Raw genomic sequence first — 14,154 nt, forward strand, 5'->3', positions numbered from 1 at the left:
GAGTGTCTAAGTGGAGAAAGGCTAAGCAGACTTGGAATGATACATCTCTCCTCTCCTCTCCTCTCCTCTCCTCTCCTCTCCTCTCCTCTCCTGTCCTCTCCTCTCCCTAATCCCCTACAAAATAAGAAATACAGTGCAGACTGTATCAAATACATAAAGTAAGAAAAGACTCATTCATAAAACATACATCAGTACCCACTTCCTTATTTTCTCTCTCATGTTTTTGTTGTTGAGTAAAGACAGTCCCAAACTCCTTCCAAAATGGCCCCAAGCAAAGGAGAGAATGTATTTTAAGCTTTATTTCACTATGCATTAACTTTTATATACTTTTTCCTTTTTTGAAACAATATTTTTAAATAGAAAACTTAGAAAATAAGAAATAGTATAAAAAATTATTATTGGAAAAAAACCCCTGTAAAAAATATCTAAATTGTACATGTTCTTGCTGGTGAAATCTGAGTCCTGCAGCAGACTTCCCAAAGCATATTGGCTCTGGGTTTCTGGGGGAAGGTGCTCTGGATCTCTTTTAAAAAGCACACATGCTGCTCCATGTGGTGCAGCAGCTGCTAAGGTAATGATGCATTTTTAGTGAAAAAATACCATAAATAAACATACAAAAAATCATATGAAACTCTCCAACTAAGCACAAAATTTGGCAGCAAGTTTAGAATCTAAAAAAAAAATTATAACTGATAAGATAATGTACCAGCCCAACCATTTCCAAATCTTATTTCTACCTACATATTTATGCACATATTTATATAACACATATCACCATTATATTTACCTTTCCAACATGCCTGAGAACTTAATCCATGATTTCCAATGTTAATATATTCCAAAGGTATGGAGGACTCACGATTAAATGCCTCTGCCACTACATAAAATTAGTTAGCAATGAATTAACTAATTATATAATCAACGACTTTCTTTTGTTTCACTAAATTAAATGAAGACTTTTTTTCTGAATGATGACTGTAAGTCATTATTAGAAAATAAAGATGTTTTTCTATTTTCTTCTAATTATTAGCTATTTCTAAGGTACACTAAAAAGACCTGAAGTGGTTTATATGTACAGAAGAATCTAAATCTCTGTACTAATTTCACTTTATCTGAAATGACTCAACTAAAGTCATCAATTCATTCATAGGATAGTTTAAAACCACATTAACTGTAATTAGCAGAGAAAAAATAATTAACTGGCAGAATAGAAGCACTAAAAAGATCTCGCAGCTGACCAGATTTATAAAAATTAATATCATACAACATACTAACATCTGGATTGAAAGGATTCAATATACTAAGTTTAACAGGTAGAACTATCAAGGTGAAAAGACTCTTAAATAATAAAATTAATACATCCAATAACTGTCTGTCAATCACTTAAACAAAATTTAAGTGCAGAGAGTGGAACAACTGCATAGTCTTTACATTAGGTGATCTATACAAGGTCTAAGAGCATTATTCAGAACTTTGACTAGAAATTATTTATTTATGATTCTAGTTTGCTATACTTGTGAAACTGGTTTAGTAAGGACATTGGCAATCCACCAACTTTAGGAGTTGTGAGGGAAGTTTGTTAAAAGGAGGAATGAAGACATAAATGAAAGAGAAGAAGGCAAGAATGAATAGTAGAAATGCTTTGGAGATTAGGTTAAAAAAGAACAACAAATTCTATATGGTTCCATCTTTATCTTTCCTTCCCTCCTTTCTTTCTTACCTTCAAACCACTTTGATTTTCCTTCCTCTTTCTTGCCTTCCAGTTAGGTATGAGGTGAGCCAGATAGGAGGTCTGCAAAAAATATACACCCACTACATCTACTAATATTGTGTGTATGCACATGTCATAAATTATACAGTGATGGAATACCCAGATGGGCCTGACATGTATTAGGGACACTAATATTTTGAGAGAAGTCCAACTTCAATTAACTTATCCAGAATTTTACAATAAAAAATTTAGAACAAGCTATTTTAAGCAAATAAATATGGATGATTTTTGTTTAATGACTTAATATTGTTTTCTTTGAGCTATATTTGGAGGTACAATCATTTCAATGCTTAGGGATTGAGGTTTTAATATAATCTGTTTTATGTTTTATGTTTCTGATACATCCCAAAATATTCCATCCTAGATAATGCTGGTCTACAACAGTTAAGTCTTTCCAGTGTTTCCAATAACCTATTGTTATCAGGTTAGATGCCTCCCTAAATCAAACTTATTTAAAAGAGAGCTATAGTATAGTAGGTGTGTGAATTTGCATGTACTCACATCTACACAAAACAAAACCTTTTTGCAGGTAGATCTAAAATAGTTCTCCATAACATTGTAGGTTTTAACTATCCCAAATTTGGTTGTGATTATAATGAATTGGTTAAAGTAAAATACAAATGTCTTTCATAGAATAAGATGACACTTTTATTTATTAATAAAATAAATACATAGAAACTAGTGCACAAAAATTATCTATGTAGCTCTGGATTAACTAATATGTTATAGAAACATAATTTTTATTGTGTTTATGTAATATGGAAAACCCAAACCAAAAATCTTTATTGTATCATGTTTAAATATAGATTTCCTGTTTTTCTGTTTTTTTTTTTTTTTGTAACTCCAATTTCATTTTTTAAATGTGGATATTATGGCATTTATTCTTTGAAAACCTCACAGTGCCCAGGTCTCAACTCCAGAGAATTTAATTAGTCTGAGATGGGACCTAAACACTGGGGTTTTAAAAAGCTCCCCAGGTGATTTTTATGTGTGGCCAGGACTGAAAACCACTGCATTGGAATTTGAGCATCAACCTTGAGGTCAATTGCATTATGAGCTAAATTCAATGCTGAACAATGGCATGTATGATTCAAGTCTTGAGGTTCATCTTTCTCACATTTCTCTGTCCCTCCTCTATTTTTCACTTACAATCTATTTATTATGATTCAAACTTTAAACTAGAGGAGATCATTAATCATGGATATAATTTAGTGACAGCAGGGTCATGTCCCACTAAGTAAGTACACCTTGTTTGCCTCAAAATGCTAATCGTTTTTCTGCAACATTAATGAGGAACAATTGATATGAAGCCTAACAACCTAGTTGCTGTTTTATTGAAATAAAGTACTCTATTAGATTATGGCAAAACACAGCAAGGTTTAATTATGCAAAATTCTGAATCATATAACACCATACTTATGAAATTTTGGCACCAAGGAAGAGGGGAATTTTAATGACTTTCAAGATTTTCTGGAAAGAAGATTACAATTATAGAAGTTGTTACCTTGCATCTTCCCTGCAATAAGATATATCATTCTCAGGATAACTAATATTTCAGTTGCCTTTGCTTTTAGCTGTGAGGTTGTTAAAAGAGGAGATCCCCATTTTTCTTCTCTGAATATCTGCTGTTGCTTCCATTTATTCATTTAGAACTGTCTATTTTAAAAGAAAAGACCTCAAATTTACAACAGCAAATACAGAAGACCAAACTTAGGAACAGTTGGGAGGAACTACAGAATTTGTCCTCTCTGCTTATAATCTTGCAAACCTTTGAGATTCCTTGTGGTAGTATGAATTTCATGGTAGCATTTTACTTCACTGCTTTTGTAGTCTTAGAAAAGACCTCAAAGCAAAGTAACCAAGCATGTAATATAGCTTGTGTTTAAAGTTACTGTGTTTAGGCCGGGTGCGGTGGCTCTCGCCTGTAATCCTAGCACTTTGGGAGTCCAAGGCAGGTGGATCACCTGACGTCAGGAGTTCGAGACCAGCCTGACCAACATGGCGAAACCCTGTCTCTACTAAAAATACAAAAATTAGTTGGGTGTGGTGGCACGTGCCTGTACTCCCAGCTACTTAGGAGGCTGAGGTGGGAGGATCGCTTGAACTTGGGAGGTGGAGGTTGCAGTGAGCCGAGATTGTGCTGTTACACTCCAGCCTGGGTAACAGAGTAAGATTCCGTCTCAAAAATAAATAAATAAATAATAAATAAATAAATAAATAAAGTTACTGTGTTTAAAGATGTTTTCTCTGAATCACCCTTAGAACAAATTACAACTTAAAAACATACTATTATTAGAGTGTTTTTATGAACATTATAAAACGTGTTTTTGGCAACGTGTATTGTTGGACTTTACGGGACACCATTGCACTTTTAAATCTCCCCGATTTGATCCCTTGTCTCTATTGGCACCTATTTGAATCTTGATAAAAAATGATAACTAATTTTTATACTATTTACAAAGATTGTTTAAGGCTAGCAATGATGAGTCCTTTAGTATGTTTCAGTTCCAAGAAATATGATTGTCTTTAAGACGACAGCACAGGGCCGGGTGCGGTGGCTCAAACCTGTAATCCCAGCACTTTGGGAAGCCAAGGTGGCGGATTACCTGAGGTCAGGAGTTCAAGACCAGCCTGGCCAACATGGAGAAACCCCGTCTCTACTAAAAATACAAAAAATTAGCTGGGCATGGTGGCAGGCACGTGTAATCCCAGCTACTTGGGAGGCAGAGGCAGGAGAATCGCTTGAACCCGGGAGGCAGCGGTTGTAGTGAGCCAAGATTGTGCCATTGCACTCCAGCCTGGGCAACAAGAGAGAAACTCCATCTCAAAACACAAAACAAAACAAAACAAAAAACAAAGGAAAAAAAAGAAGAAGACAGCACAAAATACATTGATTTAGTTCAGACTCTGAGATCAAGTGATAAATAATAAATGATAAAAATCCATGTGAGAGTAGGTGAAAGGGTCAGGTCATGATTTATTGAGAAATTTTCCATTTCCCAACTGAGATGAACTTGGATAGTCTTAATTATGAAAATAACTTGCAATTGGCATCTGTGCATTAGTTGGTGTGTGTGTGTGTGGTTGGAGGTGGGTGATGTGATATCGGTTGATTAAGTAGATGAACTTTTTGCAGGCAGGGATTACATACTATTAACCTGTGCATTCCCAGTGCCAAGTACTGAACCTGGTACATGTTAATAGCTATTCAATAGAAGTTTACTAAATTATTTATAATGGAAAGAGGAAAAACATGGATAATGGAAGCACTCTTAGAAAAGCAAAATATGATATTTGTTCTCTAAAATTCTCCTTGCCTCAAGTGAGAAAGTATTGTCCTAATTAAGTTCAATATATCCCAAAGAGAAATATTTTTAAAAAGTTGAAGGTTACAATTTTCAGTAGTTTAGGAGGCATCCAGGAAGAAGATAAATGCATGTTTTTATTATGTTTAGTCATATAAAAAATTATTGTCTGGAATATATAGAAATTTATATAGACTATTGGACTCTGAATTTCCTCTCCTTTTTTCCTGAGTTGATCCATTACATAAGAAAATTTTCAAGAAGAGAAAGAGATGGCATCTACTGTACAGGGAGAAGGAGAAGGGCTTTCTGAAGTGTTCTGAATGATGGCTGTGATTGAAAGGCCCAGTTTCAAATAAGACAAGACCATCTTTGGAGCTCCACAGGATGCCACTGTTCACTGCTATTGAAAAACTGTTTGAAACCAGTGGATCAATCTGGTGTTTTTAAGCTCTAGTTTGAATGAAGCTATTTATTTCTGAGTGTGTTTCATCATCTTCACTAAAGACTAGAATTTGTGGGGGCAGATTTCACTATCTTTTTTGATAGGCTTTGAAATGACATGGGTGTCGTAACAGGAAAATGCAGTCTGTGTTTCGACATCAATGACTTGGGCTTAGACATGTGCATATAATGCACTCTTAAAAAATCTCCTAACCAGAGAGACACCATGCTCAAGATGTTCAGATGGGAGCAAGCACCATGAGTTATGCAAGACTTGAGGTCTAGAAGAATGTTTTGTTTTTCAAGGAGGCTGGAAGCTTGTGGCCAATTATCTCCTATGTTGATAAGGAATTAATAAAAAGCTCATCAATAAAATGTCTGTTTTCAATTCTATGGTAGATAGGACAATAGCAAGTACAGAAGACCAGACCTAGGGGCAATTGGGAGGAACTATAGAATTTGTCCTCTCTACCTGTAATCTTGCATATCTTTGAGATTTCTTATGGTAGTATGAATTTCATGATAGCATTTTACTTCACTGCTTTTATAGTCTTAGTCTGTTTACAAAATAAAAAATTTGATCCTTCCCTTTTTAATGTACAGATATAAAAAATTTTAATTTTCCTTATGAATCATAGGCTTTCTGAATCTATCAAAATGAAAATTATTTAGAAAGCAATATAATAAGCCAGATTTCCACAATAAATTATTTTTCTTTATCCATTTATTTCTTTATCCTTTTAAGTAACACAAAATTCATTCTCCAGTTTATTTATTTATTTTTTATTTTTACAGAGATGGGGTATCGCTATGTTTGCCAAGTTTGTCCTGAACTCCTGGCCTCAAGCAATCCTCCCACCTGGGCCTCCCAAAGTGCTGAGATTACAGGCATGAGCCACCACTCCCAGCCCTCCAGTTTATTAGTTCATTCTCTTACACTAAAGCATGTCTGAATTAGGAGATTCATATACAGGAGAATATTCTTAGGAGAATAAAGCACAGATCTTGTTCTCAATAAAATGTTAGGCAAATACAATATTTAGATGTTTTATCATTTATATGTGTTTTGGTTTTCTATTGCCACTTAAGCCACAACGTTAGTGGCTTAAAATATCACTCATTTATTATCCCACAGATTTGTAGCTCAGCAGTCTGGACAAAGCATGGGTAAGCTGGTTTTTTCTCCCAGTTTTTACAGGCTGAAGTCAAGATGGTGGCCAGTTTGCATTCCTTTCTGAAGGTTCTGGGGATGAATCTGCTTCCAAAGTGTTTCAGGTGGCTGGCAAACTTCAGTTCCATGTGGTTGTAGATGCAGACTGAGGTCCCTGTTTATTTACCGGTTGCTGGCCTGGGATTGTTTGTAGTTTCTACAGGCTTTCTGCATTCCTTATTTTGTGAACCCCTTCCTTAATCACCAAAGCTAGGATTGACAGGGAAAGTCTTTCTTTTGCTTTGAATCTCTCTGATTTCCCACTGTGCCTGATTCTTCTGTCTTCCTCTTTTGCTTTTTAGGGCTCATGTGGTTACGCTGGAGCTACCCCAGATAATCCTAGGTAATCTCTCTATTTTAAGGTCAGTTGATTAGTAACCTTAATTCCATGTACAAAGTCCTTTCATAGAAGTAGATTTGTACTGAATAACCACTACATGGAAATCTTGGAGGACATCTTTAGAATTCTGCCTATTACAATATGCACACAGAAAAAACAAGAAATGTATTAAATTGTTTTTTTTTTTGTTTTTTTTTTTTTTTTTTTTTTAGAGATGGAGTCTTACTGTGTTGCTCAGGCTGACCTCAAACTGCTAGGCTCAAATGATTCTCCTACTTTAGTCTCCCAAGTAGCTGGGACTACAGGAAAGTACCACTGTGCATGGCATTAGAAATGTATTTTCTATGTGAAAGCCAACTATAGAAATTATGCCAGTACTTCATTCCATTGCAACATAAGACTGTGGAATTTTTCCAATGCTGCTTGAACACCTCCACTGGCATTTCATCTCATTGCGAGGAAGAGGCAAAGTCCTCATAATGGCTTACAAAGCTTTGCGTGATCTGGGCCAACACTACCGGTCACCAGTGTCCTGTCTCTTTCCCCCTGGATACTCCAGTCCAGTCCAGACTGTCAGGACTTCTGTCTCTTCTCTCAGTACAGCAAGCATGTTGCACATATTGGCTTTGCATTTGCTACAATCTCCACCTGTAATTACTTCTCCCTCCAGTGTTCACATGGCTTTCTCTCTACCCTCCTGGAAGTCATGGCTCAAATATTACTTTCTTAGTGAGGGCTTTCCTGACCATGTTTTTACAATTTTAATTACTGCTCAACCCACACATTTCCTATCTTTCTTTCTTGCCTTATTTCTGGCCCTCTTCTGGCAATTGTCAGCTATGAATCAGTTACTTATTTATTCGATTAGCTTCATAAAAGTAGACATTTTCATCTATCTTGTTCACTGCTGTATCCGTATTCCAGCACCTAGAATGTCTGGCATATGGTAAGTACTCAACAAAAATTTGTTAAAAGAATGTCGAATGAATTAAGATAATGAGCCCAGATTCTCATTTTCTGAGTTGCTAAGTTAATTCTTTATTTAGTGAAAGGGTGTATATTGTCATAAATTGTTTGAGTTCATTCTTTACCTCCTCCCCACACTATCCTTCTCCCACTCTATCAATTTTAGCAGTAAAATCATGAAATAAGAGAGATTTTGAAAGAAAATTAAAACATGAAATGCATTCACTTCCTTTTATTTCCGGGTATTTTCTTCTTTATATATTTTTTTCTTTCAATTTATTACGAATAATTCTTCACCTCAAGTTGTGGCAAACTTATAAACGTTTTCATTAATGGCCCCAAAAAGTAATGGCATACCTAGTGTTGCATTCAGTGTTGCCCAACTGTCACCATTTCTCTTTCTTTTACTATTATAGTCAACTGAATAATATTGATGCCCTTCATTAATGCACTTTACATTTTTTTAATAAAACCTCTTGTCAACATGTTATGCATCTGGTGTGGTCCAGTTTGAAGGAATAAATGTTATAGAGCAGGGGTCCCCAACCCCTGGTCCATGGCCTGTTAGGAACCCAGCCACACAGCAGAAGGTGAGTGGCAGGTGAGCGAACATTACCACCTGAGCTCCACCTTCTGTCAGATCAGCAGCGGCACTGGATTCTCAGAGGAGCGCCAAACTTCTTGTGAACTGTTCATGTGCGGGATCTAGGTTGTGTACTCCTTATGAGTATCTAATGCCTGATGATCTGAGGTGGAACAGTTTCATTCCCAAACCGTTCTCTCCCTCCCCTGCATCCATGGAAAAATTATCTTCCATGAGACCAGTGCCTGGTGCCAAAAAGTTTGGGGATCGCTGTTACAGAGTAACCAATTTTGATCTTTAAGCATTGGTAATTTCAACAGTACTGTGCCTTTATATAGCTTTAGCACTTTCTTTTGTCATGGTAACTAGATGTATACATTTTCTCACCTCATTCTATCATAGGTTATCTATCATGATGTCTGCCACTGGGCCATAGCGGTTAAATGTCAATGTTCTCCAGTTTTTATCCTCCCGTTTCTACTATCGTCACTCTAACTTCCCAATGAGAAGCCTTACCTACTCCAGTGATTTCCACTGTTAACTCTATGCTGATATCTTCCCAATATACAGGCCCACAATTTCATGGGCTCCAAATCCTGGGATTTGTGCAAGTGCTTCTTATACCACATGTCAAAAAGCAAGCTCAGCCATTGCACTTTGCTCCTCTTCCTTTGTTGATCTATCTCTGTTACACTTCTATCCTCTCAGTCACCAAACCTTGAAACCACGGAAACATCTTTGACATTTCCTCTAGCCCTCTCCCCTCCTTCCCACACGTCTGATCACAAACTAATCCCTTTGAATTCTGCTGTTGAAATAACTCTCTGATCTGTTTTTTTCTTTCTGCTACTGCTTCTTTAGTACTTCAGGTGCCTACCTACTCTACTCCACCAGTATCTTTTTTTTTTTTTTTTTTTTTTTTTGAGACAGAGTCTCGCTCGGTGGCCCAGGCTGGAGTGCAGTGGCGCGTCTCCGCTCAGGGCAAGCTCCGCCTCCCGGGTTCACGCCATTCTCCTGCCTCAGCCTCCCGAGTGACTGGAACTACAGGCTCCCGCCACCACGCCCGGCTAATTTTTTTGTATTTTCAGTAGAGACGGGGTTTCACCGTGTTCGCCAGGATGGTCTCAATCTCTTGACCTCATTATCCGCCCTCCTCGGCCTTCCAAAGTGCTGGGATTACAGGCGTGAGCCACCGCGCCCGGCCTACTCCACCAGTATCTTAACTGACCTACTAGTTTCTGCTTTTTCTGATTTTTTTCAAAGTATAGATCAAGCATGCCTTCAACATGACTCATCAAGGCCATCACGCAGAATTTAAAATTATCTTAACTTTCATTATGGTATTCAAGACCTTCCTAATTTGAGCCCACATTTATTTTTCAAATTTATATTCTATCTCTCTACCTAAAACAAAAAGTAATGTATCATTTTCTAAGCAGATGTTATCATCTTAAACGTTTGTGCCTTTGCTTAGGTTTCCCCTCTTGCTGGAATTTTCTTCATCTACTTCCTGGCCTTCTATGCCCACCTTCCCACCCTAGCACAACACAACTTCTAAGTCTAGATTCAATATACCTCTTTGGTGAAATCTCCCTTGACTTCCCCAAATGAATGTTCTTTTTCTATGGTGCTAAATCACTTCATTCATAACTCTTTTAAAGCCCCCACGATATTTTGGTAGTTTTTATTGTCTATTTACCTCCAAACTTGTGAGTTCTTTGACAAGACTGGCCGTGTCTTTTTTTTAATCTTAGTATCCCATGCATGAAGCAAAACTCCTGGCATTTAGAAGATTTAGCAAATATTTGATGAAAAAAAAGAGTAGAAAGCAAATTTATAGAAACTGAACTAAAATCAACACAGCGTAATATTGCAGATGAATATAGAAGGGAGTAAACTAAAGAATCTAATCCTGGGTATTTCCTGTGAAAAATCTTACCTTCCTTTTAAAATAACTTTTACAAATATCCCCATCTTGTTTTATTGCATGAAATTAAATGATCATGCTTCATAGTAAAAGAAGTATTCATTCAATTTGTTATTATCTTCATCAGTATCATCAGCAGATACATCAGCAGATTTCTAGAGAAAGCTCTCAGTACTAGGAAACAGACAATTTTATTCAAGGGGCAGAGCATATATTGCATTCTTTAGAAAAGTCATCAAAAACTTAAGAAAACTAGTTAGTTCTCTTACAGAATGCAGAGAAATGTCATAGAATCCAATGGAATTGTGTTTAATCATCAAAGACTGGCAAAGCAAGCAGCACTTAAGAGCTGGTACCCTCATTAATGGACCTCAAACTCTACACACAAATTCATGGAGAAGTCATTAAAATATATCTTGTTAGCCTGGCCAATGCATACTAATCCTGTGGTCTGTGGGGTGTCCAGAAATCTTTATTTGTCATCAGTACCTCTACATGATTCCAACACAGGTGGCCTAAGGGCCACATTTTAAAAACAGTGATCTAGTCTCAAACATTTATTTTATAGATGAAATAATGGAATTACTTAGAAGTGGTAATTCATGTCAGAGCTAACTTTTAAGCTCAGTTTTCCATTCTTATCTTAGTATGTTTCTGGGAGGCCTTAACCTTAACCTTAATTGCTGCTAATTTTTATTCTTGCCCGTATTTTCCGTTATTGGTCTCTGTCTATTGAAATAAGGAAGAAAAAAAGAAGATTCTCATATTTGCCTTATATTTTCTCTTTTCTTCCTTTACTTTTAGAGATGAATCGGTTTCTTCTTTAGAGAAAAACCAAACCCACCTCCAAATCCCAGGAAGGCCTGTAATTTCTATATCCTTAGACTCTGCTGATTGTTTATTTGCTTCTCCAATCAATTTGTATGTATGTAAATTTTATATCACACAACATCCACACTCCTCTTCATAATACAGATAGCATTATCAACTTACCTTCCTATCAGCACAGTGCAGATGTGCAACACAACAGGTTTATTTAACAACTGAATAGCTACGTCAGTGTTGGAGGGGTGGGTAAAGAGAAACAAAGCTTTCACTTTCCTTTTGGGTTTTGTTAGTAATGACAGCTCAGCTGATAGTGTTTTCTGAGAACAAGGGGAGTCCTGATAGAGAGAACCCTCCCATTCCCATTTGATCATTCCAAGTGGAGATTTGGGACAGCCTTCCTTGCTAGGGATAGTTAAGGTATAATGGCTTCTGACCCTGTCACTGCAGCTAATTTTAGGCATCATTCTCTCTGTTGTATGTTCATGACAGCATAAGTCTCATCATTGTCTCTTGAGCTGAGCCCACTGAACACATTATGTTATCATGGGGGTTGTTCTTAAATTAAGAGCTTATTGTCCCAACCAACATCTTTCACTCACTATTTCTTTCTCATCTTTAAGATAAACATGATGGAGCTGATTTATTATATACTCATTCTTTTACTAATTAAAGTTAAGTACTTCAAATTTACAGAAGAATATAGCAACAAAGAGAACAGTCATGTACCCGTACTCAACTTTAAATAAAATCTTGACACTTTGCCAATATTTGCTTTAGATTTTATTTAAAGAAATAAATCATTACAGGTGTGGTGGAAGCTTCTTGCACAACTTTCTCCAATCTCTTTTCTCTTTCTTTTCAGAAGTAACTGCTGCCCCCAAAATGGCAATTTACTATTTCCATTCATGTTTTTATTTTATTACTACATATATACGTATCATAAATAATCACTTTGCATATTTTTAAACATTGTTATCTACATATAATTTTGCTTTTTTCACTCAATATTGTTCTGGGGATTTATTCTTGTTAATACATACAGCTCGAGGTTACTTACCTAAAATATTTTGTAATATTCCATTGTGTGTATTTTATTATTTATTATTTTCCTTATTTTCATATTTTCACTATTGCCAGCTATGTTGCAATGAATATTTTTATATGTATCTCATTTTGTGCATGTGTAAAAGTTTCTCTTGGATTTATTCCAGCAGGTGCAGTTGCTGTGTTGAATGATATGCACAAGTTCTAAATAACTGGATCTTGCCAAGGCAAATGCTTCAATCTACATGCCTAAAAGCTGTGCATGAGACTTCCTTGTGCTCCACAGTCTTACCACCATTTGAAATTGTCCAACTTTTACATTTGGATCAATAAGAACTATATCAATTTTATTGTTATTTTGAGTACTACAGCTCAGTTCAATACATAGATTGACCTTTTTGGTTTCTTTTCTGTGAATTTCCTGTTCATATCTCCTCCTTTCATCTGAAAAAAGTTTCTTTTTCTTATAAATTTATGGTTTTCAAATATTTTCAATATTAGTCTTTTGTCAGCTATATGAAATGTGATATCTCCTGTTATGCTTGCCTTTTCACTTTTAAAAATAATGTTTTTGAGTAGCTTTAAGTTTTATAGAAAAAATAGGACAGAAAATACAGAATTCCTGCATACTCCATTTCTGCCAACACAGTTTCCCCTATTATTAATATCTTGCATTAATGTAGTACATTTAATACAATTGATGGATCAATATTGATACCTTATTATTAACTAAAGTCCATTATTTACATTAGGTTTCACTGTTTTAGTGTTCACTCTTTGTGTTGTATAATTTTATGAGTTTTGACAAATGCATAAAATCATGTATCCACCATTATAGCATCATAAGGAATAGTTTTACTGTCCTAAAAATGCTGTATGCATTTATCCCTTCTTCTCTCCCCTACCTCCTAATCCCTGATAATCACTGATGTTTTTAACTGTTTCTCTAGTTTTGCCTTTTCCAGAATGTCCTGTGGTGGAATCGTACATTATATGGCCTTTTCCCACTAGCTTCTGTCATTTGCAATATACACTGAAGTGGCCTCCATGTCTTTTTGTGGCTTGATAGCTCATTTCTTCTTATCACTGAATAATATTCCATTTTATGGATATATAGCATTTTGTTTATCCATTTACCTGTCGAAGGACATCTTGGTTGCTTCCAGTTTTTGGCAATTTTGAATAAGGTTATTATAAATTCGTATGCAGGTTTTTGTATAAACACAAATTTTCAACTCATTTAGGTAAATACCTGGCAGCTTGATTGGTGGTTCATAAGATAAGCTTATGTTTAGCTTTATAAGAAACTGCCAAATTATCTTCCAAAGTGGCTGTAAAATTTTGCGTTTCCACTGATGAATAGATTCCTGTTGCACCACAGTCTTGCCAGCATTTGATACTGTCAGTGTTTTGAATTTTAGCCATTCTGATAGGCATGTTGCATTAATTTTGTTTTTTATTTTCTGTATTTTATGATGCTTTGACATCTTGGGACCTTGCAAGTTAGGGGGAGACTGCTTCTCCTAGGACTAGCTAATTCCTAGAGCTATCAAATGACTCACTTGTGAGTGTGCCTTTCACATGCCAATCAACCAATCTAAAACCCATAACTCCCAGCCACCACCTTTATGGAACTCTCAAACATAAGTCAATATTTCCCTGTCCTAACCAACCCAACCAAAGTACCAGACAACTTGGGACAGCTCTTATACCCCAGAGCCCATTAAAATTATTCA

This window comes from Homo sapiens, chromosome 2, assembly GCF_000001405.40.
Source record: "Homo sapiens chromosome 2, GRCh38.p14 Primary Assembly".
Taxonomy (NCBI): Eukaryota; Metazoa; Chordata; class Mammalia; order Primates; family Hominidae; genus Homo; species Homo sapiens.